Source organism: Homo sapiens, chromosome X (assembly GCF_000001405.40).
Source record: "Homo sapiens chromosome X, GRCh38.p14 Primary Assembly".
Taxonomy (NCBI): Eukaryota; Metazoa; Chordata; class Mammalia; order Primates; family Hominidae; genus Homo; species Homo sapiens.
The window spans coordinates 10,552,695-10,580,539 of NC_000023.11; the positions used below are offsets into that span (position 1 = coordinate 10,552,695).

General features: G+C 39.3%; 1 protein-coding gene across 9 annotated transcripts in view, besides 1 other annotated feature; it reads right to left on the bottom strand.

Moving 5' to 3' along the window:
• MID1 (midline 1) overlaps positions 1–27,845 on the bottom strand; it is a 388,374-nt gene that overhangs the window by 107,385 nt on the left and 253,144 nt on the right. For 6 of the 9 annotated variants that reach the window (NM_033290.4, NM_001098624.2, NM_001347733.2 and 3 more), the window contains one exon: positions 14,194–14,909. In NM_033290.4, the coding sequence (NP_150632.1) occupies positions 14,194–14,853 (660 nt within the window). In that variant the 5' untranslated portion in view covers positions 14,854–14,909. Of the gene's footprint in view, positions 1–14,193; positions 14,910–24,089; positions 24,224–27,845 lie in introns of those variants that run through there. The other 3 variants (NM_033289.2, NM_001193280.1, NM_001193277.1) reach the window with 2 other exon arrangements.
• Positions 18,864–19,082: a silencer, noted in NCBI's record as "fragment chrX:10539598-10539816 (GRCh37/hg19 assembly coordinates)". NCBI's record gives its function as "represses an EF-1alpha promoter that drives an FKBP-Casp9 reporter gene in an ReSE screen in phorbol 12-myristate 13-acetate-treated (for megakaryocytic differentiation) K562 erythroleukemia cells {active_cell/tissue: K562(+PMA)}" and the evidence as "EXISTENCE:reporter gene assay evidence [ECO:0000049][PMID:32094911]".

Sequence of the window (27,845 nt, forward strand, 5' to 3'; positions counted from 1 at the left end):
AGGCTTAAAATTTAGAATAACGGGGTAAAGATAGAGGCATTCAAGGAATAACAATAGTGATGGAAAGAGGAACCACTATCCTTTGTCCAGGGCTTCCTAGGGGACAAGCATTATGGAGTTATTACTGAATTATTACCTCTGTTTTACTGATGAGGAATTGAGGCTTGAAAAGTTAGTTTTGTTTTTTTTCCCTTAAGTTCGCACAATTCTAAAATGGCAACGCCAGGACACAAGTTGAAATCAGACTCTAAACCTGTCTCAGATCTGCTGAATCTTATAAATGGTGGCTCATGATGTAATCCCAGTACTTTTGGAGGCCTAGGCGGGCAGATCACCTGATGTCAGGAGTTCGAGATCAGCCTGGCCAACCTGGCGAAACCCCGTCTCTACTAAAAATACAAAAATTAGCCGGGCGTGGTGGCGCATGCCTGTAATCCCAGCTACTCGGGAGCCTGAGGCAGGAGAATTGCTTGAATGCAGGAGGTGGAGGTTGCAGTGAGCCGAGATCACGCCACTGGACTCCAGCCTGGGCTATGCAGCGAGACTCTATCTAAAAAAAAAAAAAGAAATAAAAAAAATATATATATATATGTATACACACACACATATATATACGTATGAACCCTGAGTGGCTTTGTGCACAACCATGTTTGAGATATCTTTGTTTTAGAAACCAATTTAAATCTACAATTCTGACTGATTAGCGATCCTAGAAAGAGGAATGGATAACAGATCAAAAAGTTTTATTATTGACTAACACATGGTGATCATTTTTATATGTATCCACGCTTTGGCATGAATAACTAAATATGAATATTAACTCGTTTTGGTCTCTTAAGAAATTTGAAATGTTGAACTCATAGACCAAGACTATAAATTTACATTTTTAGCCAGGGTAAGTAAATAATCACATTTCAAGTGATGAAATGATTTTAGGGATCATCAGAGATTCATTCATTTATGTTAACACTTAGGTACAGAGAAACTATTGAGTATTGGATAATTCAATATTGCTGTAAGTAAATAAAATGATTCCATATGGATTTCCATATTTCAACTTTGTATTTTTACTTCTTTATTTATATTAGAGTGGAAACTAGCTCATCCTCAATCATAGTCACCACTTCAAAGGGAACTTCTTTGCTCAGTCCAGGGAGCCTGTGTGTCAAAAGTGAAGGCAAAAATACTTGCTCTCTCCATACTCAAACTCTCTCTCTTTCTTTCTCGCTAATTTTTTAAGGGTGGTATGTTTGGACCATAGTTGTTTCTGCTTTAATCATAGGTGACGATTAGTCAAGGGCAAAATGGGGTCCCTGGGTCTGAGCTCCAAAACGTAGTCATCTGACTACAGTTATGCTTTTGAATTTTCCATGGCCTCATGTTCTGCATTGTTAAAGATGGTTCCTATTTACCCAGCTGCTCCCACCCACTAAATGCTAGGCTAGACACTTGGACCTATATTATCTCATTTAATCCTCCCAAGATCCCTAATGAGCAGGTATTATCATTCCCATATTTTTGCAGGAGATACGTGGTTGTTCCAAGGATCAAATAATACTTGAAAGTGCTTTGCAAACTGTCAATCTGGAGATTTACAAATGCTAGTTATTATTCTTGGTAATAGCTAGCTCTTGGTGTTTGATCAACAAACACCCTTGAACCACATCTCAAAACAACTTAAAGCAGCATCTTGACAGATTACTCCACCTTCCTGTACTACCACTCAGCCCTGACCTACGAGGCAGTTTTCTAGAGGTATGGAAGCAGCCCTATGGCCTTGCCTAATATGTTATCAGATGAACGTTTTATTGATACATAATATTTGTACATATTTATGGGGTACATGTGATATTTTGTTACATGCATAGAATCTGTAATGATCAAGTCAGGGTATTTAGAATGAAAGAGCTACTGGAACCAGTTAACAAGCTGGACACTATAAATAAGTGAGGCCCTTGTTTGCTGGGACCCTCTAGAGCTTAAATCAGCAATCCAGAGGCAAAAATAGCATCTCCCTCCAAGCTCCTTAAGTGAAGTGCATACGGCTTCCCCATGTCTCCTAGATCTTTCAGACTCACTCACACAGGCCATACTCAGTGTGTGAGTCTAAAAGCCTGCCCATTTCACTCTTCTTGGCTTTGAATCTGACCATGTCAACCAAGAGTGACTGAGCTCTAAACAGCTGTGTCAAGGGTCAAAGAAGGGGGAAATAAACACTCTACCAGGTCAGGATATTCATCCTAACACCTAAGTTGGTAAAAATTCCATAACAGATAAAGCAAACCCACCAGCTGGCTTGGTTAACACAATAGCACTTCCGCAAGTTTGCTCCCATAATATCTTCCTAGGGATGGATCCTTTCAGAGTGGAAATGACATAAACTGCTTGTGAGCCTGGATATTTATCTGACCTATTAGCCCTGTTCAGGAAGGAAATGGAGACCTCTGAGGAAAGCACGTGAGAAGGGCTAGCAGTCCAGCCCGCGAACAGTAGACCTTTCATAAGAAAGCATCCAGCCGGCTTTTTTCATGGATTGGAGTCTTCATATTTTGCCCTTACTTGCAATTCCAAATGACTGAACAGTGGAATTTGCAATTCCAAATGACTGAATGTCACTGTTCTCTGTAAATGTTGCTTTTTATTGAAATGTATTTTTACTTCAGCTTTTGGAATTAGGCAATTTCCAGATATCAACACCGAAGTCAGTGGTTTTTTATTATTATTCACATTAAAAATTATCTCATTGATTGAGCTCCATGGAGCTCTTTTCATATCCTGTCTATATATTCTTATTACATGTTATAATGAGCTCTAGACCATGGAAGCAACGACTTATCTTTGTTTTTCATTTCTGCATTCCCAGAATTTACTCAGTGTTTATCTCATAGTAGCTACATAAAATATTCCCTGAGTAAACAAATAAGGTTTTTTCTTTCTTTTTTTTTTAAAAGCAGGATCTGATAAAGCAGATAGGGAAAAGAATATTTATAAAGGCACAAAAGGAATAGAAGCTGCTCATGATTTCCATATTGTTTCAGTAATAAGAACCTAGTCTATCCCAATGTAAATAAAAATAAAAACCATATTTTCCGGATTTTCCCCCTCAATAAATAGCAAAAGAGATATAAGGGAGGAGGCAGACGATGATACCGCTATTCTAGGCACCCTGCACAACTGGCACAGAAGAGAGCACAGAGAACAAAACACCCCAGGGCCCCTACAGTGGAGGAGTTGGAAGCTGCCTTCTTGTACAGCTCCTTCACTTCAGCGCTTTCCTCCTCCTCCAGCCCCAGTCGATACCGAAGTTCCTTCCTCTTCCTATTCTAAGAGAGACAGCTGCTAACACACAGCCCAGGGCCAACTTGCTTCATCATTTACTCACATACCAAAGGCAACCCTACAAAAAAAAAAAAAGAAAGCTAGCCCCCTGAGCTCGTCTGACTAGTCTAGGCTTACTGTGTATCATGTCACCCATCTTTTCCTCATCTGTCTAGATGTGTATAAATGTGACAGCCATAGTATAAACCAATGCCAGCTTTTCTTTTCTTGGAAACAGCTGTAGGTGCTCTGATGGCACCTGTGGTGCTGATCCAATCAGATTAACCAGAAACATGAAAGAGCCGCTCCCCTCCACCCCTGCCACCCGCATCCCCAGACTTCAAATTGGGCCTTGTTTTTAAAGCCATTTCTTTCAATTCACCACTCACTGCTTCTTAAAAGTCCATTTCACTACTTAGCTTGGTTTAGAAAGGACAAATCAAAGTTTCCACCCAATTATAATTCCCTTGAGAGTTGTTCAAAGTTTCCCATGTCAGCCAGAAACACATATCAACCCTATAACCACTGAGTAATTTATGATACTGTCAAGAAATCCACCATTGGATTACACCAATGAAGGTTTTATTGTAACAGTAAATGCCCAGATAAAATAATACCTCGTGTACATCCAACACTTACTATGTGCCAGTCACCATGCTCGGCACTTTACAAGCATTTTCCTTTTTGATGCGACATGCAAAATGTGTTTTCCTTTGTCAGCTTAAAGTCCATACCTCATGGGTACGCAACAACGTTGTGTCATACCCAAAAGTCCAGAATATAAAGTGATTAAGTTTTAAATGGATTTTTACAATTGCATTTGTATCAGATTTTTCCAGAATGTTTATGCCACATACTGAAAATAAATTAAATCTTTAGCCACATTCAGTTTCTCAGACTACTCATGCCCACTTTATGGCAATGTCAAAAAATTTACCAGTCTAAGAATAATCTATATATTAAGACATTCAGGAAAACAATAATCCTAAGAAGGGAATTAGTGAGCCCATTAAGTTGCAACCACAATTCCTTTGTTTCCTCATTGACATCACTGTCCTAACTCTGCTTTCTTTTGCAGTGTCCCCGAGGTTGTCTGGGTCCATGTACATGAACACAGCTCCAGGCATGAAGTCTGGCCCTTCAAGATGGCCAAATCTACACTGGCTCAGCTATAGAAAATGTCAGCATGGGGGCATCTTCTAGGCAACTTATTTTGGTGGCCCTGGAGGCATCATTGCAAAGCCACATCTCTGCAATAATTCCCAGACAGCATGGTAAGGCATCATCCTACACCCATGATGCTGGTTTATTGCCAGGCCAAGCAGGCGTTTAAAAATTACCGTAAAATCATTGTGTTTACTCCTGAAAACCTCAGAAGAGACCTCAGAAATTTCAGAACCACTCAAAAGGCAATCCTGCCTGTGCTGGCTGGCACTGTTAACCGCTGTAGGAAGTAGCAGGAAAGACACAAAACTGGACAGCTGGGAACTGTGCTCTAGTCCTAGTTCAGAGTCACTAACCCACTAGGTCATTGCGGAAAACTTCTTTTACTACTCTCAGCCCTACTTTCCTCATCTGCAGAATGAGGATGGAATGACATGAGCTCCAAGGTTGCTTCTGGCTCTAAAACATTATTTTGGTTTATAGTGGGCATTCGGAGGTTTGAACAGCATTCTCCTTATTGTGAATCAAAAAGCCAGAAGAAATAACCATGCATTGTCCCCACTGTGTCTTACTGCACTAGAAAAGCAGGAAAAGAATCACATTTGTGTCTGTACCTAAGAGCCAATCAGCAACGACATCTCCTATTTCTTCCTAGTTTTAAGGGGCAGGACCTTGAATCTCACAATTTTACATGTTTCTGTTGACAGGGTGGTGGTTTTTGACCTGTGATACTACTTCTTTCTGCCAATTAAAAGAGAGACCACAAAATCTAAAGTAATGTGAATGTCTCTTCCCCCTTTTATTTCTTCCATGAACACAGTAACCCTATCCATTCTTATATTCTCACATGAAATTTATTTCAGAAAATATACATTAACCTCTCTCTCTTAAAAAAAAAAAAAAAACACTTCACTATTACTCTATAGAAAATGGTAAAAATGGCCTAAACCCTTAACCTTGCATTTAAAGACTTTCAAGACCTTCCCTCCAGGTGACTCTTCCAACATCCTCTTTCCTGGCTCCCCATTTGGCACCCTGTGCTCTAGTTAGGATTGTCTAAAATTCCAAAGCTGTCTTGCCTATTCCTACCGACAGGTCTCTGCTGGTCTCACTCCTGCAGAGCACCTCACTCTTCTTTGATGCATAATCCACAGATCTGTCAAAGCAGCTTAAATCCCACCACCCTGAAGCAAGGTTTATTGTCTACTCAAAAGCAGATTCATCTCTTCCTCCTCCGAATCCCAAAACACTCGTCTAATGCATCAATTCTGCACATGTCCATCAACAAGTGTTTATTAATTGTCACGTCTCTGCCCTTTGGCAGGTGCTTTAGAAACAAAACTACAAAACACATTAAAGCAACAATATATACTCTTATCTCACATACACATAATACAAGACAGTGGTTAAAAAATATTTGGCAGTCAGTCTACATCCAATGTCCATACACTTAACCATTACACATTCTGCCTCCTAGTTTCTAACAGTCGTTCTGACATGTGTTGCAGGCTTTCTGTAGGCCAGGCACAATGCTAAGGCACATGAAACACTTTATTTTGCTCTCCCAATTTTCTGTGAAAGTAAGTACTATACATTAGCCCTGTTTTATAGACGAGTAAAATATAGCACAAGAACGTTAACAAGGTGCCCAAGAATTACGTTTACACAGCCACATGATGAAGAGGTACCATGTGTACTTGTTTGTGCATTTTTCGAACTCTCTGAGCTTACCAAGAATGATTCCAACAATAATAAATCACTAGGCAATAATACATTGCTCTCTGCAGGTGAAGGAGTTGAGAGAGGACTCATCCAGAAAATAGACAGGTGAGGAGGAGGAAAAGGAAGCTGCCTTGAGTTTCCCATTAAGAACATATGCCTGGAGATGCTTTCTTTTATTCCATCTATCATAAATATCCTTGTACCAAACTAACAAAATTAAAATATAGTTTTAATACATTTTACAAATATTTGGAAATCTTATTTTAATCACATGGAAACTATTAAAAAATATACATTTCAACACATTGTATACACGTTTGGAAATATCAGACTATATCTCATAAATATGTGCAATTATTAAGTGTCCAACTAAAGATAAAAGGAAAAAAATACATATCTATATTGCAGACTAAACAAATGCTGCCATAAAATTAGTACAAACAGAATTGCATATTGGAGTCAGTTGGAACTGGTGAAACTCCATAAAATTACAACATTTTAGAAGACATGTGTCTGAGTTATTCACATACCACATGGTGAAACATCATATAGTCTGTCTGTATTTTAGATTAAAATCAACTGGGAATTACTGTGAACAAGTTTGAAAAACTATATAGGGTTACACAAAGAACATCATACGTGGTAAAAAGTTAAAAAGGAATAACTGATAACAGGGATTTTACAGACATCTAGTAAATTCAATATTGTTTTCTAATACAAGGCTTGGAAATGGTAGGTGCAGTGATCCCTTTTCTGGGAAGCCTTTCTCCATCTCTCAGGACTGGGGTCAGTACCTTTGCTTTGGGCACAATGTGCTTCCTGCCACCATCAACAGAGAAAGTATTTAGTAGCTGTTGGAATGCCCTACTAGACTATAAGCTCCATGAAGGCAGGGACTGTTACTGTTCATATTACCTTAATTAATTAAACACATATTAATTTTTTATGACCTCTCAAAAAACCTATATTAACTTTCATTGTGGGTTTTTTTTTTTTTCTTTTGAGACAGGGTCTTGCTCTGTCACCCAGGTTGGAGCATAGTGGTGTAATCACTGCTCACTGCAGCCCTGATCTCCCAGGCTCAATGATCCTCTCACCTCAGCCTCCAGAGTAACTGGAACCACAGGTACATGCCACCATACCCAGTTGAATTTTTATTTTTATTTTTAGTAGAGACAGGGTCTTGCTATGTTGTCCAAGCTGGTCTCAAACGACCAAGCTCAAGCAATGCTCCTTTTTGGCCTCCCAAAGTGCTGGGATTACAGGTGTGAGCCCCCATGCCCAGCCATATCGTTCTTAATAACATAGGTTCAAAAGGCCTAAAGCAAGCAAAATGACAGAACTATGAAGAGGACTTGAAAATTTCACTCTCGGCAAAAAAAAGCTAGAAGCATTCCCTTTGAAAACTGGCACAAGACAAGGATGCCCTCTCTCACCACTCCTATTCAACACAGTATTGGAAATTCTGGCCAGGGCAATCAGGCAAGAGAAAGAAATGATGGGTATTCGAATAGGAGAGAGGAAGTCAAATAGTTTCTATTTGCATATGACATGACTGTATATTTAGAAAACCCCATCATCTCGGCCCCAAAGCTCCTTAAGCTGATAAGCAACTTCAGCAAAGTCTCAGGATACAAAATCAATGTACAAAAATCATGAGCATTCCTATATACCAATAATCGACAAGCAGAGAGCCAAATCATGAGTGAACTCCCATTCACAATTGCTACAAAGAGAATAAAATACCTAGGAATACAACTTACAAGGGACGTGAAGGACCTCTTCAAGGAGAACTACAAACAACTGCTCAAGGAAATAAGAGAGGACACAAACAAATGGAAAAAAAATCCATGCTCATGGATAGAAGAATCAGTATCGTGAAAATGGCCATACTGCCCAAAGTAATTTATAGATTCAATGCTATCCCCATCAAGCTACCATTGACTTTCTTCACAGAATTAGAAAAGCTACTTTAAATTTAACGTGGAACCAAAAAAGAGCCCATATAGCCAAGACAATCCTAAGCAAATCGAACAAAGCTGGAGGCATCACACTACCTGACTTCAAACTATACGAGGCTACAGTAACCAAAAACAGCAGGGTACTGGTACCAAAACAGATATATAGACCAATGGAACAGAACAGAGACCTTGGAAATAACACCACACATCTACAACCATCTGATCTTTGACAAACCTGACAAAAACAAGCAATGGAGAAAGGATTCCCTATTTAATAAATGGTGTTGGGAAAACTGGCTAGCCATATGCAGAAAACAGAAACTGAACCCCTTCATTACATCTTATACAAAAATTAACTCACGATGGATTAAAGACTTAAATGTAAAACCCCAAACCATAAAAACCCTAGAAGAAAACCTAGGCAATACCATTCAGGACATAGGCATGGGCAAGGATCTCATGACTAAAACACCAAAAGCAATGGCAACAAAAGCCAAAATTGACAAATGGGATCTAATTAAACTAAAGAGCTTCTGCACAGCAAAAGAAACTACCATCAGAGTGAACAGACAACCTACAGAATGGGAGAAAAATTTTACAATCTACCCATCTGACAAAGGGCTAATATCCAGAATCTACAAAGAACTTAAACAAATTTACAAGAAAAAATCAAACAACCCCATCAAAAAGTGGGCAAAGGATATGAACAGACACTTCTCAAAAGAAGACATTTATGCAGCCAACAAACATATGAAGAAAAAAAGCTCATCATCACTGGTCATTAGGAAAATGCAAATCAAAACCACAATGAGATACCATCTCAAGCCAGTTAGAATGGCGATTATTAAAAAGTCAGGAAACAACAGATGCTGGCGAGGCTGTGGAGAAATAGGAATGTTTTTACACTGTTGGTGGTTGTAAATTAGTTCAACCATTGTGGAAGACAGTGTGGCAATTCCTCAAAAATCTAGAACCAGAAATACCATTTGATCCAGCAATCCCATTACCGGGTAGATACCCAAAGGATTATAGAGCATTCTGCTATAAAGACACATGCACACATATGTTTATTGCAGTACTATTTACAATAGCAAAGACTTGGAACCAACCCAAATGCCCACCAATGATAGACTGGATAAAGAAAATGTGGCACATATACACCATGTAATACTATGCAGGCCTGAAAAAGAATGAATTCATGTCCTTTGCAAGGACACGGACGAAGCTGGAACCCATCATTCTCAGCAAAGTAACACAGAAACAGAAAACCAAACACCGCATGATCTCTCTCATAAGTGGAAGTTGAACAATGAGAACACATGGACACAGGGAGGGGAACATCACACACTGGGGCCTGTCAGGGTTGTGGGGCGAGCGGGGGAGAGCATTAGGACAAATACCTAATGCATGTGGGGTGTAAAACCTAGATGATGGGTTGATAGGTGCAGCAAACCATCATGGCACATGTATACTTATGTAATAAATCTGCACATGTGTCCCAGAACTTAAAGTAAAAAAAAAAAAAAAAAAAAGAAAATTTCACTCTCTGAGTGGAAGGCCTAAGTGCACCTCTCCTAGTCATTAATTGATTACACAGACTGAAAACATTAATGAGCTCATGGAAATTTTGAAGATACAATAAACTTATTCTAATATTTCTTAAAGCATACTGCATCCATAAGTGAGACCATATGCAATTGTCTTGAGCCCTGATCTTAAGGGATTTAAACTAGAAACCAATAAACAGAAAGACACATTTTAAAAAATACACATATTTGTAACTTCAAAAAAAAACCCCTTCAAGATAAGACTCTTCCCACAAAAAATATACCAAGTCCAAAGTTGACTTGTATCCATCTACCAAACATTCAAGGAACAGGTAAAATATTTTGAGTGATGGGAATATAGTTATTATTGCTATGTTTGTTGTCATCTCTTGCCTGCAGAATGAAATATCCCTAATGAAAATACTGGTCACTTGAATTTGTCTCCAACTTAGATTCAGGAAGATTATAATATTAAATAAATAAATAAATGCATGTATGTATATGTATATGCAAGTATGTGTGTGCATCACACACCATAGCACTAGAACCTGCACTATGCCTGCTACTGGTTTTCAAAGAAGAAACAAGTTATAGAAATTATAATAAAAAGAAGTCTAGCTCAGTATACACTTACAACTTTCCTAGTTGCAAACTGGGAAAGATTTTTCAAACATAGAACCTTACAATCTATAAATTAAACCCAAGAATGAAATCTCATGTCTTCACTTCCAGATAAAAAGTGCTACATAGAAATGCTGAGCTTTAATTTGAACTTTTAAATCAAACTATTAAAAAATTACAATGGGATGATCCGTTGAAACATGCATTATACAAACAAACTTCCTCAGCCAGCCTTTAGAATAAGAATAGCAAAACAATAGTTTGGAACTTCAGCTTCAGCTAATTTGAAGGGGCTATGCTGAAACTGAAAGGCAAGGAAAGGTCAGTTTTTTTCAATTTGTATATTTTTATAGGTATAATTAGAGAAAAGAAACAAGAGCTCCAACCTTGTATGTTGGAACAGAAAAAGAGGACTACTGCATTTTAATTCCTTGAAAACTCTGGAATGCATTAATTATATTAAATTCTCTTATATGTTATGTGGTTCACAAATCAAATTTTTCCTCCAAGTTTGAAGGACTGAGAGGCTTCTTAAAATTCAATTAAAACGATGTAAAGAAATATCCACATTATGGATACGCTCCACTTAGAGACCTTTGCACTTGGCAGGAAAACTTTTCTCTTTTTATCTTAGTAGAGTTCAGGAAATGCTACCTTAATTTTCTCTTTGCTTCAATATTTCATGAGTGCCTCTCAATGCATAGTCTCCGAAAGCGTTAGATTACTGACATGATGCTATTTTACATGATGTGGATGATTTTATTTGTACGAGTTCAACATGTTAGAATTTTTATCTCTTTTTCTTTTACACTTAGAAAAAGATTGTAATGTACAAAATGATATTCTGATTTTTTGTATAAACAAACATCTCTTATACTGAGATCTAATGAGTAAAATATGTCCCCCAAAGTTTAGTATTATTGCAAGAAATTATTCTTCATAATAATTGCAGAATTCCCTTCTTCAGGTAATAAACTTTTACTAACAGAAGGACAAAAATGTTTCCAAAGACACCAGGGTCCTTACATATGCAAATTAATAAAGCAAATCTATTGTCTTATCAATGAAAGCATCCTCAAATTCCTCCATGCTTTATCTGTGTTCTCACATCATCACAAATCCACATCTATATGAGATCCTAGAGCTACAGAAAAATGCATGTTCAGAGCACATTTCAGACCAAAGTAGTAATTAACAGAAATATACTTCCTTGGTTTTGGTCCTCTTGGTATGCTATTACTTCCTTCAAAAAAATCAACATTTATATTGTGCTTAGGTTTTAAATAAAACAAGGATGTACATATGTTCATAAGTATGCGATAACTGAAATATCAGACATCCAAATGTCATAATTATTATTTTTAAAATTCTAACGTAAGTGGCATGTTTTAAAACAAACATGCTATGTCGATAAGTTATTTGTTCAAATGCTCATAAGTACATCTTATTGAACGGCTGTAAATGTGTTTCGGTGCATTGGATGCTGTTTATATGCTTATATTTCTGTAACTAGGAAATAAAAAGAAACCACATCATTAATTGTCAGGCCCTCCATGTGACAGTAGAACAACCGATAGGCCACTGGCTCAATTAAAGTGTGCAGGGCTCGTAACTGAAGAGTTTTGTTTTTATCACAAAGAGGGCTAGAGCATGACAGGAATTCTTCATAAATTTGGAGATGTTATGTAAATATTTAATAACTCTGCTGTGACAGGCCATGAGTACTTGAGCAGAACCTGACCACAAGATTTAAATAAATATCAAGCCTGGGAGTTGTTAAATATTGAACATCATTATGATTGTGGTGTTTTAACAAACAATCATTAAAAGGTAGTGCAAATCCAATCAAAGGAACATTTTTAATAAAGAAACAAAGATCTGGCATGTTTACATTTTGGAAAACAAAAATCAAACATCTCTGTTCAGTTATCCTAAATATTCTCCCTTCAGCTCCACCACCAACCAAAAAAGGGGTAAAAAAAAAAAAAAAAAAAAAGATTACCTTGGTTTGTAAAAATTAATAGCCTTCGCAATTTCTTCAGAATTTGCTCTAGAGGCACAGCTCATACATGCATTGCCTTTGCTATGATTAACTTTGGTGGTACTTTTCTCCTGTGCTGCCATGCACTGTTCTGGAAAGCCTGTCAGCGGCTGTCTTCTGTTGTCTGTGTCACCTGAGTCCTTGTGCTTGACTTCCTCTACATGGTTTAAAGATGGATTTGCACCAGTAATTCTTTGGATACTTGAAGTGAAACATGCTGCCCAGGTGATGCTTTTGTTGCCCAAGTGACATTGAGAAGCAGGAATTGACTTCAGCATGTCGGCTTCCCTCAACATGTCAAGAAATAGCAAAGCCAAATCCCAGATGTGGTCCGTTAATCCCACTGTCACAGAATAAACTATGTGGTCCCAGTAAACACAACCACCCATTAGCGCTAAGGAGAGGTGATAGAAACCATTTGTTAAAGGTGACACTGTTTTCTAAGTGATAACACTCTTTTGATCATGTGATTCATTTTGTTTGCTCAACAACATGGTATGTGTTTTTCCTGAGAGGAAGGACTTCAATATATATTTACTTAGAGCTTTTAATTTATACTTCCTTTCTTTTAATTGGTGTCTTGTGATCTAAAATTAGCTGATGAACATAGTATCTCACTCAAACTCTCTCAGCTGAGTTTTCAATAATTAGACCCACTGTTGCCTGAAATTGAACAAACATGTGGAGACTTGGCTTATTATTTCTTCCCTAGTGCTTTCTATCCATACTTAGAGAGTGATTTTTTTTTTTTTTTTTTTTGAGAGAGAGTCTCGCTCTTTCACCCAGGCTGGAGCGCAGTGGCGCGATCTTGGGTCACTGCAACATCCACCCCCCAGGGTCAAGTGATTCTCCTGCCTCAGCCTCCCGAGTAGCTGGGATTACAGGCACCCACCACCACACCCGGCTAATTTTTTTATTTTTAGTAGAGATGGGGTTCCACCATGTTGGCCAGGATGGTTTTGAACTGCTGACCTCAAGTGATTCACTCTCCTCGGCCTCCCAAAGTGCTGGGATTACAGGCATGAGCCACCACGCCCTGCCTAGAAAGTGATCCTTTTATTTCACATATAGTCATATTAATCATTATCCCCCAAGCTGGAGTTAGGTTAATAATTTCATGTAAAAAATGAAGTTCAAATAGTCTTGACTGTAACCTTACTGAATAAAGAGCCTACACGAAAAGGAATTCTTTCGTGAAACCTGAGATTGTCAGAGCACTGAATTTCACCAATAAGCTGGATATCGTTTATACAAGGAATAAAAGGTCACGTGTCCTCTAAAATCCCACATTTGCTACAGACATTCTTCCCTCTATTCTTTTGTTTGTGCAGTAACTAGATACAGGTACAATGAGAGTGAATTAGTTTTCCCAGATGAGTGAGAAAAGTAAGTGTTCCCCAAATGCCCAAAGCCAGATTTTATCTGTCATTCTCTCTCTCTCTCCCTCTCTCTCCCTCTCTCTCCCTCTCTCTCTCTCTCTCTCTCTCTCTCTCCCTCTCTCTCAGAGAGAGGCAGCACTCTCTTTGGAAGAACTGTAAGGATTGAAAATGATCCAGAAAAACTGCATGGATTGAAAATGATCCAGATTTTTAGAATTTGCCCTCACCTTGACAACGCTAAAATTACAAGCAGCAGTCAACTTTTACAAGATACCCTTATTGTGTAACATTTATAGGTTGCCAAAAACATGCTAAAACTAATCAGATAACAAAGGTGAGGAGAAAACCTTCACCTGCCATGTAGCTAGCAGTGAATACACTTTTTATTTCCATGACATTTTCTGGCAGAAAGGGGTTGGCTTAAGGCGGATCGGACTAACCTTCAATTTGTCATAGCGCTCACTCAAAGCTGCCACCTGATGATCGCGGTGCCGCCCAACCAGTTTACACAAGGCACAGATTAACTGGTCATCGGTCACACAGTACATATTCACCTTCTCATCCTCATGCTCCAAGCACATCAGCCCCCGGATGTGAGAGTCCGGAATTGGCTCAATCAGACGATGGCCTGTAAAGGGCTTCTTATTCGGGTGAGTGGCTTTCAGGCACTCGTCACAGTAGGATACTTCACAAGTGACACAGGTCTTCACAGCGTCCTGGGCAGGATCCTGGTCACAAAACTGGCAGAGGACCTTCTCGGCGGAGGTCATGGTGTTGGCGTCAAAGGCCCGCTCCCGACGGGTCTCGCTGGGAGAGTTGGGCCCGCTCACTGATGCTTTCTGGAACCTGTCGATGATGTTCTGTAGGGTGACGTTGCGCTTGAGCCCGTCTAGACCTCGCTGGCTGAGGGTGATGACATGCCGGCAGGTGGGGCACTGGAAGGCGGTGATGGACTCCACAGACTCGTTGGTGGCACAGTGTGATACTAGGATGCGGTGGGCGCAGTTGAAGCAGAGGCTGTGTGCGCAGGGCAGTAGAAGAGGGTCCTCAAAGAGCTCCAGACAAATAGGGCAGGTCAGTTCTGACTCCAGTGTTTCCATCTTCAGGCAAAGCTCTCTTGTGTCATCAGCAAAACCCAAGGAAGCTGATCAGCTATCTGGAAACAAGAATGTAAGATTTGATTAGGCACAGGGAGGTCAACCATAGGGGGGTGTCAGCTTTGAATGCATCTCAGAATAATTCCAAACACAGGTCATGAAAGGGTAAGTGTGTGTACATTCCAAATAATTCTCTTTCTATTCACTGGGGAAAAAAGGAGGAAAAAGCATCCTGAGCCATCATATACCAGTTAACATTTTCTCAAAGTTCAGTAACTGAAAATGTGCAATTTTTTTTTTCAATTTTGTTTTTTAAAAGGCTTCATTCAAAACTAGAATGTAATTGAAACTGTAATTTCCATAATTTGTATTTAATCAGAATAATCTTATTGTGTCAGAGTCAGGTTTAACCTCGCACAGAAAATTAAAATGTAGAAATATTCATCAATAAACTAGAGTCTTTTATAAATTTGAATTTATAAACTTACGTATTAATGTATACGAGATTTAAGGACTTTTACTCTGCAATACCAAACCAGGTTTCAGAACAATAGGAAGGCAGTAACTATAGAAATGGGCATGAAATGTACATGAAATCAAATGTGGGGATTTCAGCAGAGATGATCGTGTTTAAGTGTGGGATGTCATTTTCCAAAATATATTCCTGAGAAAAAACATTGACTTTCACAAAGATGATTGTGATAGAGGCAATATTTTTGGCATGTGTTCATTATGTTTCTGAATAATTCTATTGTTTAATCCAGCAGTGGGACGTGGGTAGGCAGAACGAAGTGGAGAAAAATATCTGGGGGCTTTTTCAGTGGCTGCAGTAAGTTTGAGTACCAATGACTAATATTTAGAGCAATGATTTAGTTAATTAGAACAAGGATTTCAGTGGTCATCATATTCATGTGATAAGTTATGTTATGACAATGATAATGATTACAGTTGAGAAAGCAATTTAAGGAGGCTTACAAAACTGCTGAGGGACCCTTTTGGCCAAAAAACTCCCACCACGGGCTTGTCACTGTTGCCAGCAACAGGCCAGGCTGGCAGGAGGTCCAGCCTCACACTCAGAGCTATGTTGGCCTGGGTACGACCTCTGCTAGCTATGTTGCTCTCCTCCAGGCCACCCGAGGGTGGCCCAGCTGCCTGCTCCCCTTGCCATAAAGACCTGAGTGCTTTTGTGAACTCTCATCTGCCTTCCCATCAAAAAGAGTAGTAGAAAGAATTCCACACAAACCCCAGTTCATTAAGGGTGAAGAGGCCTCATGCTCATTAGCAGGCCTGGGAACCAAGCCGCTTTGAACCTTCTCCCTTTCAAGACCATTAGCAGAGGTCTGCAGACCAGTGATGGGAATATTACATGCAGCCCATTGCAGGCTGTGGGAGAACAGTGCAGTTCACCCAGTGGTCGGGAGGTTCAAATCACCCACGGGGGTGGTGGGGAGAGCGTTCTCAGCCGGATTTATGGGAAGGCTTCACATCCAAAGCTATGTTTAGTGATTCTGACAATCAATCGTTTGTATTCACACCTCCGCTTATTTACAAAATTCACGGTTTCTAGAATACCCTGACCCCTTCTGAAATAGCATCCCTCAGAAATACCAATATGGTGCTTTGGTGAAATTAATGCTCATCTTGCTACCAACTGAATGGTAACTGATCATTAAAAGTATAAAGTATGTCCCGAGCCTGTTAAAAATTAAACAGCTACTGGCTTCATAAAAGCCTGGTATCTTAAAAAATCTTCAACCATTCACTAGCATTTATTATATAGGAAAGAATAAAAGAGCAACTGTGACTTGAAATATTAAAGCTTGTACATCTTTCTACAACCTGCAATGGAAACCCTAGGGTTGCTGTTGTAAGAAACATATCATCCCCACTTGGTCTGTCACCTCTTCCTACAGATGGCTCAGAAGAAATGGAAAGGTTTTTACCTATTAATAATTATTTTGGTTAATCATAGAAAAAATGTAGAATTATCTTTAAATCAAAGTTCTTTTACCTTCTCATCAGAAGCATATAAATTAAAGGAAAAATGTAGCCCTTTTGGTCTGCTCTGTTCTCAGATAAAACAAGAATGCCTACCAATGAATCTGAATAGAAGGATGAGCATCAAATTATGTCTGGAGAGCTATGATGACTATATTTTTAATGCAGGTGCCAGGATTCCATCCCAGAGAGGTGTGATGAGAATTTCTAGAAAGGATTCCACTGGGGAGACCTCAGTGGAAATACTGACATTTTATTCATTCCTTCAACAGATGTTTACTGTGTGCCAGGCACTGAGTTAGATGAAGAAGCCAGAATCTGGGGTTCACATCACCTCATCTCTATTATCATGGGCCAAGCCAGCATCATCTCTTATGTGGACTATCATAAGACCTTTCTAAATGGTCTCTTGGCTTCTGTTCACTCCTGCCCTTCCCCCTATAGTCTATCCTCCACTCAGAAGCAAGAGAGCCTGTTGTTAAAACATGACAGAACATGCATCTCCTTTTGCTCTGCCCTGTAAGGGCTTCCCATTTCACCCAGAGAGAAATTCACCAGAATAAACCAGCCCCAGAAAACACAGACTCAGACAGTGAGCTCACTTCCTCCCACGCTACCCACTCCTTTCTCTGCTCTGAGCACATGGCCTCGTTCTGACTCCTCAAACATGCCAAGCACATCAATCCCCTGCTCGCCCCTGCAAGGTCTTCAGAATCCACATGACTCTCTGCTCCAGTGTCACTTTCTCTCTGAACCCACATAAAACCAATTCCCCTTCTACCACTATACCACCTACCCATCGTGGTAATTCTTCCCCCATCTCGGTTTATTTTTCTTTATAATATTTATCACTGACATATTCTTTTAGTTTGTTTATTGCTCCTTCTGTCCCCACTGTCCTCAACACTAGAATATAAGCTCTGTGAAAGCAGAGATTTTGCTTTGCTCTTTGAAGAACGTACCACCAACACCTAGAACAGCACTCAGCACACAAAATGACTCAAACATTCATTGATTCCATTAAATGTACTGACTTTTCAGCTAAAACCAAAAAGAATCAAACACAGCCCTTGACTTTAAGGATCTCTCAATATATTTGAACAGAGGTCAACAAACTTTTTCTATAAAGGGTAAAATAGTAGACATTTTTGGCTTTGTGGGCCAAAGGGGCCCTGTTGCAACTACTCAATCTACCACTGTAGTGCAAAAGCAATCAGACACAATACATAAAGGAATGAGTATGGCTGTGTTCCAACATAACCATATTTAGAAAAACAGGTCACAGGCCAGCATTGGCCTGCACATCTTATTTTGTTGAGCCATGTATTGGAAGATAGAGGCATATACAGATAACCAGAACATAAATGAAAATCATTCTCAGAGAGGTATGAATAAAATGCTGTGTGGGCAACAGCAGCAAGGATGGCGGAGCAAGACTTGAACAAGCACTTACAAGTTTCCAGTGCTAATGGGAAATGATATGCAATGGGCTTTGAATCTGACATCAATGGAAATTATGTGACTCGAGTGCTTAGGGGCAACTCATGTAAGAACGAATTAATAGTAGCTGCTCAAAACTAGATATTTTCTTTTACTGCCATAGCACCTGGCATAGTGCTTTATGCAAGTGTCTGTACTGTAAATGGTTAATTGTATTAGGTGAAGACACAATACTCAGATGTGGTAGGTGAATTTCAGCCAATTTTCTAAATCTTTTGCCTGTATGCTACCAAAAAGGAAGGGGTTTTGGTTTGATATCTATAGTGCATCCCACTTTTTCCACTTTTACCCAGATTTTACAATGGCATAGATAGCATTTTTGTTAAATGACTCTACAGTATCTTATTTGTACTCATTCCATTCCTTCTTCTAAAAGAAACTTAGTATGGTTTATTTTCTAGCTTTCTTTAAAATATCTTTTTGGAGAAATTAAAATGCCATTCATTCCTTTTTTTTTTTTTTTTGCCATTCATTCTTTCACCAAATACTTAAGTTCATCTATGTACTTGGTCCTGAGACAAGTACTGGTAACAGCTGGCCCCTGTCTCCATGATCTTATGGTTCATTCCGAGAGAGAAAATATGAACAAGGCCAGGTGTGGTGGCTCATGCCTGTAATCCCAGCACTTTGGGAGGCTGAAGTGGGATAATCACTTGATCCCAGGAGTTTGAGACCAGCCTGGGCAACATAGTGAGACCCTATCTCTACCAAAAAATAAAAATAAAAAAATTAGCCAGGAGTGGTGGCACATGCCTGTGGTCCCAGATACTTGGGAGGCTGAGGCTGCAATGAACCGTGATCATGCCAATGCACTACAGCCTGGGCAACAGAGTGAGCCCATATCGAGAAAAAAAAATGAACAAGGTGTAATGCAACATAAAAAAAGATGCATGCCAAAGACAGACAGGGAATAATCAACTCTATATAGGGGGAGAGGAGACAGGGAGAAGCTTCCTGAAGGAGGTAAAGTATGAAGTGGGTTTTAAAAGATGAACAGGGATTCACCAAGCAGATAGTGGTACATGGGTGGGAATTTTATGCAAAATGTTATCTTTCTTTTCACTCTCTCTCTCTCTCTCTCTCTCTTTCTCTCTCCCTTTCTCTCTCTCTTTCTCTCTCTCTCTCTATATATATATGTATCTAATACACACACACACACACACACACACACACACACATATATATATAGCTTACATTGTTATTTATATCATTAATAACAGTATCAGGCCGGGCATGGTGGCTCACACCTGTAATCCCAGCACTTTGGGAGGCCAAGGTGGGTGAATCGCTTGAGGTCAGGAGTTCGAGACCAGCCTGGCTAACGTGGTGAAACCCCGTCTCTACTAAAAATACAAAAAATTAGCTGGGTGTGGTGGCGTGCGCCTGTGATTCCATCTACTCGGGAGGCTGAGGCAGGAGAATCACTTGAACCCAGGAGGCAGAGGTTGCAGTGAGCTGAAATCATGCCACTGCACTCCAGCCTGGGCAACAGAGCAAGACTCTGTCTCAAAACAAACAAACAACAACAACAAAAACCCCAATATCATAAAACAGCAGCTTTTGCCTTTTCTTAACTGTCATAATGTAATTTCCATGCCTCAAAAAAAAAAAAAAACTTCTTCATTTCTACTTCAATAAAAGGAAATCACACATGCATATTGTTGTCAGGAAATCCTATAGCTTAACATTTTTGTGAATGGGCAGATTGGTCCTCATTGAGAAGAGGATCTAGATAATCTTGAGAGTCCCTTGCAACAAACTGGGAATGGCAACAAATCACAGCTCACACCTCTGCCTGTCCATGGTTTAAACATCTAGAACACAGCACAGAATAATGAATGAAAGGGGAGAGAGCTGGACAGGTGACGGGATAATCTAAGACATCCTGCAGTTCTGCTACTTATTAGCTGTCTGAGTATCCATGGGTGAGTGTCCACAGATGTTCCCTACAGTCCCTCTAGCACTCACTCTAATCACTCCCCTAGGCAGGAGAGTCTTCAGTGACAGATTACAGTGAAGCCCCACATCGTGGGAGGCATTGGATACATCTTTTGAAAAAACTTTCTTATAGATTCAAGACTTATGAGGAAAGTACTTCTTTAAAATGGAAAATTAATAAGTAGATGTTTTGCTGGAAAATAATGATGTAAATGTTTTCACACCTCCCTCTTCTTCCTTTCCTTTCCTCTCTCATAATATGTATCTTAGTCCATTTTGTGTTGCTATAACAGAATACCTGAGGCTGGGCGATTTATAAACAAAAGAGGTTTATTTAGCTCGTGGCTCCACAGGCTGGGAAGTACAAGAAGCATGGTACTGGCATCTGCTCAAGAGAAGGAACTTTGCTTTATAACAACTCCATTCTCATGGGAACTAATCCACTCCTGTGAGAACCAATCTAGTCTCCATGAGAGCAAGAACTGACTACCTCAAGAAGGGCATCAAGCGATTTGTGAAGGATCCATCCCCATGACCCAGACATCTCCCACTAGGCCCCTCCTCCCAATGCCACCACATTGGGGATTACATTTCAACATGAGTTTTGGTGGGGACAAACAAACCACATCACTGTATGTCACTGAAACTGTACTTTCCTAGTTTTCCTCTGTCTAACCACTGCTGACTTCTACCTCTTGCTAATCAAAGCCTAAGTGTTTTCTGATGGTCTATGGTTCCTTTGACAGGGCCATCCAGTTTTTTGTTTGTTTCATGTACTGCCTCTCTGAGAATGACTGCTAGGCTTGTATCCCAAGATGGTCGAGAACCCCTTTCTGGAACCCGGTTTAGCACTGACAGTTCTTTGCTTCATGTACTGCAAGTGCCTCAGACTTGGAATGCACATGATGTGGGATTTATCCTCTTCCCTCATTAGCCTGTCTTTGTCTTCTCTACAGGGCTCCTGGTGTCTCCTCACAGGGCTTCTGTCCTCCTGGTCACCAGACAGCAGACACCACAGTTTCTACTCCTCCCTCTTTGGGGGAGGCACAATTATGGTCCCCAAAGATATCCACAGCCTCCTCCTCAGAGCTTGTGAATATTTTAGGTTATAGAGCAAAGGGGACTGACTGTTGCTGATATAATTAAGATTGCTAAGTAGCTGACCTTGAGATGGGGAGAGCAGCATGGATCATCTAGGTGGACCCAAAGGAATCACAAGGCTCTTTAAACGTGGAAGTGGCAGGAAGAAGAGTCAGAGTCAGAATGATGAGATATGACAAAGACTCGACCAGCCATGCCTGGCCTTGAAGATGGAGGAAGGGGCCACAAGCCAAGGAATGCAGGCTAGAAGCTGGAAAAGGCAAGGAAATGAATTCTCCCCAAGGGCCCCCAAAAGGAATACAGCCCTAAAGATACCTTACTCTTAGCCCAGTGAGACCTGTGTCAGACTTTTGACTCTAGAAATGTAAGATAATGAATTTGCATTGTTTAACACCATCAGGTTTGTGCTAACTTGTTACAGCATCCATTAGAATAAGGAGATCGCCCATCATCAGCACATCATCCATAATTTTTATCCCAAATTTCCCTTAATGGAGGCATTGACCTTTTTAATGATAAGGTAAACCCACCTCTCAATGCTTTCCTACAAGTATTCTAGGTTATGTCTGCATACTCCATGAAATACAATTATTTTTCTAATTTGGAGTATATGAAAAAGAACATGCAATTCTATCAATTCTATCAATAATTTTACTTCCAGCCCCTCACTTTGTACAACTCTAAAGCCTTCACTACCAGGGAAATTAGTGAGTCATTAGACCAAGGAATAAACTTGTATGCCAACACTGGGTGGCCTGTGATTAATCGTTAATACCACGTGGCTGTCAGCCACTGCCCAGATGATTCCCAAGGCACTTCCTCTAGTTCTTTTCCAAATATCCTCTGGACTATAGAGACTAACTTTATTGTTAAATTTACCAAAACATAACTGAGATGACAAACACACTGTTAAAATTGCACGATGTTACAGCAAGCCACACGAAAATGGTTTCAGAACAGGAAGCTCCTATAAGTATTTCAAACAACAAATAGCATTGAAAATGTACAAATGAATTATTTGAGAGTCCTAAATTTCAGAAACGAAATCAAGTCAATTTACTTGATTGTCCGCTCCTCTTAACCCCTATTCACCTGGGTAATTAGATTTAGTTGACTATTGCTGTTTGGATTTTTGCTATGAGATTATCTTTATTATAGAACTATAGGTGAAATATTTTTTAAAGACTGCAGAGTGATGTTTCTATCTTGGACCAGCAGAAATACAGACTTTCAGAGGACTCAAAACTACTGAAGTGTGAAACACTGGAAATCAACCTGAGTTTGGGAGGCAGATTGCAACGGGGACCCAACTCAGAAGGGACTTGCTCTCATCTTAAATAAGCATAATTTCTCAACTCAAAAACTTGTCTAACACAAACTCAATAAAAACTGGCTGCTACATCCAAGATGAATTCATCATAGGGTATTTTGAATAACATAATACAAGCACTCAGCATCTGCATATTCAATTATGCCATTTAGTATTTGACTTTGAGTGATAAAGACCACCGAATAAAGACACTACCCAAATGTTACTTTACTGATTAGCACTCTGGCCAATTTGAGAAGCAGGTGGGTTAGCAAAGGCACAGTAAAACAGGGCCATGAACTGATGGAAAAAGGGGAGAAGGGGATCCAGTTGGATTTAACTGCATTCTGAAAGACTGGAAATTGATAGCATAATGTAGGCTGTTTCAGTACAAACGCAAAGTGGTTCTTAAAAACAACAGTATAAATAATACATCAAGTAAGAACAGGTGAAAAAAGGTGATCCAGTAACATTTTATAGGTAAAGAATGTTACTCTGAATTATCACTGCATTTAGCCTCCAAATGTCAGCACACTCAAATTCATTTGCTCAACCAGTAACAGACAACTAAGAATTTCTGCCAAGAAAATTGTAGGGGACCAGAGGGACTGTTTGAAAAAAAAAAGTGACAAGCAGATGAGCACTGAGATGCTAGCCTCAAGTTTTAAAATAATTAATACAATAGATATTTTGAATAACTTGACATTTCTTCTTTAAGAAGTGCTGAAATTATTATTATTATTATTATTTTTTTACCTCATATCTGAAGTGAGAACCAGGGAAGACTTTTAATTTCGCCAAACACCCACCTGGTGGAATTCATGCAAATCAAATTAAACTGTTAACCAAATCTTTTCTGTACTTTCACATCTGCCTATAACATGCTCATTCTTAGTAACTGGATCTCTAGGACATTCTTTAAAATAATCACATACTCGCCTGACCATGCAACCTGATTAATAATGAATGAACATTCCTGAGAAGAATCACTTCGAAGCATGGCAGATGTCTGTGGGGATATGAAGGCTTTAATGATCAAAATTAAGGGGAAATGGAAGCTGGGTCACACTGTCTGGTTATTTTAATTGAAACCTAGTCTTCCAAATTTACTTAACAGAATACTTAAACACTCCTTCTCGAGGTTCATTTATACAAGCAGACAAGCACAAAGACAAATGGCAATGCAAAAGAACAACCCAGATTCCTGGAGGAACAACCACCCTATCCTGTTCTGTCCTAATAGTGCAGAAAACCCCTCAGCAGTTTCAGAAATCCAATTTGTTCAATTGAAAGACTGATAAACAGGTTAAAAACAGGAACTAGTACATTGGTCCTTAATAGTTCTTTGAGCACCTCTCTAGATTCTGACAAAGAGATCACCTTGAATACCCACCAATGGACTGCACACTAGTTCTTTTTGAAGAAACATCGCCGTAGGCAGAGGATGGGGACCCACGAAATGATAGACAGGCCACCGAGACCAGACGGTGGGTGGCAGGCAGTGCTGGAGCGGTCCTGTGTGTCTGTGAGTGCGTCAACAGTGAAACACAACAGGAAAATCGGTCCAACAATTCCAGGAAGGCCAGCTCCACCTCATCCACTCCGCCAGGGTTGCCCGAGTTGAAGAATCAACTGCCTTTTCCACGGCCCCCGCCACAACTTCCCTATCCTCTGGCCTACTCAATGTTCAACTGAACCCAAATGGAAAGGTAGCTCAGGTCAGCTCAACACCCACTGCCTGGTCCAAAAAAATGAGGACTTGGCAACGGGATCTGTACTCTCATTCCTTACAGGGACCAGCAGCAGCTTGGCCGAATGAGACACTGTCCTGTGGCAGAAGGCTGAATGCTAGCTTTCAATGCCACCAATAGGAGCCGTCCTGCCCAGCTCCTGGGGCTGGGAACAGGCACTAGACTCATTTGCCTTTGGGGCCTTTCAGTGTCGTACTGAGCACATGATCACATTATGCTCTGCATGCTGGCTTGTTCATTTAAAAAAATAATATACACATTATTTTGTGCCTTTATCTTCTGAATTAATGTATAATGTCTGGAAGAAGTTTTCTTCAAAGTTATATCAGGAAGAACAATCTCCAGTACAGACACAAAGAACAGTCATTTATTTCTTCCAAAAATAGTGACCTAAATAGCAATCTATCATCCTGATAAACAATTTAAAATATATGTATATACACACAGGTTTCACATACACACGTATGCATACATTATGTACACACATATATAAAAACATCGTGTGTGTATATATATATATATATTTAATATTACATACACGGTATATATATAATAGCAAATCTGTGATGGGTGTCCAAAATTTCAGTCTCCAGAATGGCAAAGAAAGGGTGAACTGAGAATGGAAAGAAGTAATCTTTTAAAATTTGATTGACTAAAGGAGGAAGGGGAAGTAGTCTTCCTAAAAGAAAAAAAAAAAAAAAAAGTCCTGCGCTGCAGTTCTTTGAAGGATATTGCTTATCACCATGCAAGACAAGAAACTGCAAGTAAAGTAAATCATCAGGAAAGTGTTTAAAAAAAGAATCTTGCACAATTCAATTCATAATCCAGACATTTGGACTCCACCAAAGGTGTTTAAGGAACATTCATGATAAAGGGGAAGCAGAGGCAAGAACTGCTTCCTCGGGCTGCCCAGTCTGCACGTCTCAACATCTACTTTATTGCCATTGCAACACTTCACAGTAAATCAAAGCATGCTTCACATGTTAGGACATAAAAATGCAAACATAGATTTTTTGGCTTATGTCTCTCCAAATTATAACTTCATTTGTCTTTTAACAATGAATAAAAGGATTACTCAATTTCACATATAGATGACTTCCTTAAGAAGTTCTCATTGTCCTCGGAAGAGACACACATAGATCATCAAGTAGAATTCTAAAGAACTTTTCATCAAGACATGGCTTTTGTTAAAACAACATTTAAATTGTCAAAATTCTACAGGCCTAACTTTTCCCTATTTTGGCACTGTAGTGGAAAATTAGCCTGAACATCTGAAGTTGAAACATCAGGAAAGAAATATTTACTCCACCCCTCAAGAGAAAATGATAAACAACAAAAAAAATTACAATCTTCTAAAGGGCATAATCTGACAACTTGCAGATGAAATTTCCCACTATCTGAATGTCTCAGACATTTCATGTCTTTTACAGTTTAAGAAATAAAGCATTTAGTTTTAAAGGCACACAGAACCTATTTTACATTATATTGAAAATGACCGATGTTTTCCAGGTCTATGCTGTACTGGGTATCATGCAAGAATTTGGTTCTGAAGGCAATGATAGCAGACTGGACAGAGAGGAAGAGGGTGAGAGATGGCCACACCTAGTCTCCTGGCAGAAGTCTAAATCAACCCTCCTGGTGAACAGACCAACAGCGTGATGGTAGCAGAAATGGAAGTCACTAATTTCTGTGAAACCAGTCACAGATGAAAAGCTTTTAACACTGCTGTCCCTGAATGCTTTCTCAAATGTATTTATAGTTTGATAGGTATTTCTATATATATTCATATAACTATGTCTGTATAAAGTCCTATATATGTCCATAATGGAATTAGTTTTTGTAGTTATATACAATGTGCATGTATACATAAGTACACATATACATATACAAAAGCACCTTTTCAGAATTATTTGAGACTGGCTAGAATTCACTCTTCACAAACCCCTCAGTCATAGCATCCCTTCTGCATTACAGAAACATTCCTTCCTTAGTGCAGAAACAGAAACCTGTAGATAATGTTTATTTAAAAACAACTGCCTGCTCATATCTGCAAAAGGTCACCTGGAAATGAGCAAAATGACGCAAGTGATCTATTCTCTGAAAGACCAGTCAAGTGGGATTTTTGCAGCAAGTATAATAGATTGTGCCCTGGAGAAAAGCTTGCCGCTTGGGGAAACTTTTTCTCACTTTATTTATATAATACTCTCCTAGAAGGCAGAGAAAGTACACACCCTCCCCTTCCCAATTATTACCAACCAGGAGCAAAATAGTTATTGATGATGGCCAATGCAACATTTCACAACTGTTCTCTGAACACTGGAAAGCTTAAGTTCAAAGACAAGAACAAATACTAGTCTCGTGACTCATGGAGGTAATGACGATGTTATAGAGTAACTGATTCCCATTGTGTGAGCAGATTGGAAATTCTCTCAAATATGATGCCTCCTTTTCTCAAAGAAAATCGCTTTTTCCCTCAACTTCAAAGTCAGCCACACACAAAAACCTTTTGCTCACAATACCCTGAAGCTACCTCCTGATCTTAAAAAGTAAGGAAAACGAACCCTTATTCACAACTCCTGGTTAACTATTACGAATAACATGCTTTAAACATTTCCCCTGATCACTGAAGCTCTGCAGTCAGGGGAAGAAGTCTTTTTTTTTTTTTTTTAAAGGCAACAGAAAGAGGAGTGACTCTTTTGTTCTGAATGTTATTGTAAAGCACCACATGAAAGAAGAGGAATGATGGGAACATGGCAATGAAAAGGACAACAGCGCTGACAAATGAAAACAGGATATTAAGAACAGCGTCGGGACTGTGTGTCTGTACAGAACAAAGCCGGGAGCCTTCTCGGAGAAATTCAAGCAAAAATACTCTTAACAGATTTACATGCTAATGGATGAACTGTAGTTTCTCCAGGTGGCACAGATCTTTAAGTCTGGGACAATAAAATTAGGTTATCATTAAAACACATACACACACACACACACACACACACTGTAAAGTGTCATAAAATTAAAACTGCCTTCAAATCACATTCAATCACATGCCCCCCCCCGCCCCGCCCTTTCAACCAGTGATCTGCTTCTGGAAATTTCTAGATCTATGTTTTTCTCTTTGTAAAATAAGATACTGGTTCTGTCAAATAACTGAGCTAACTTAGTATATAGTCCCAAGGAAAGTGAATTTTTTACAAAAAGAAAAACAATTTTCTCTCCATTCACAGCACACTCTAACTTACACTTTAAATATAACTTTTCAATAGAGCTTTCAAGAACTCCCAGGGAAACTAGGCAATGGGTACTGTGCTGAGAAACAATGACAGCAACTAAGTGGCTAACATTAATATAGTATACCGCTTTTGCCAAGTCATGGTGGTAATATCTTATACTTTTCTTCT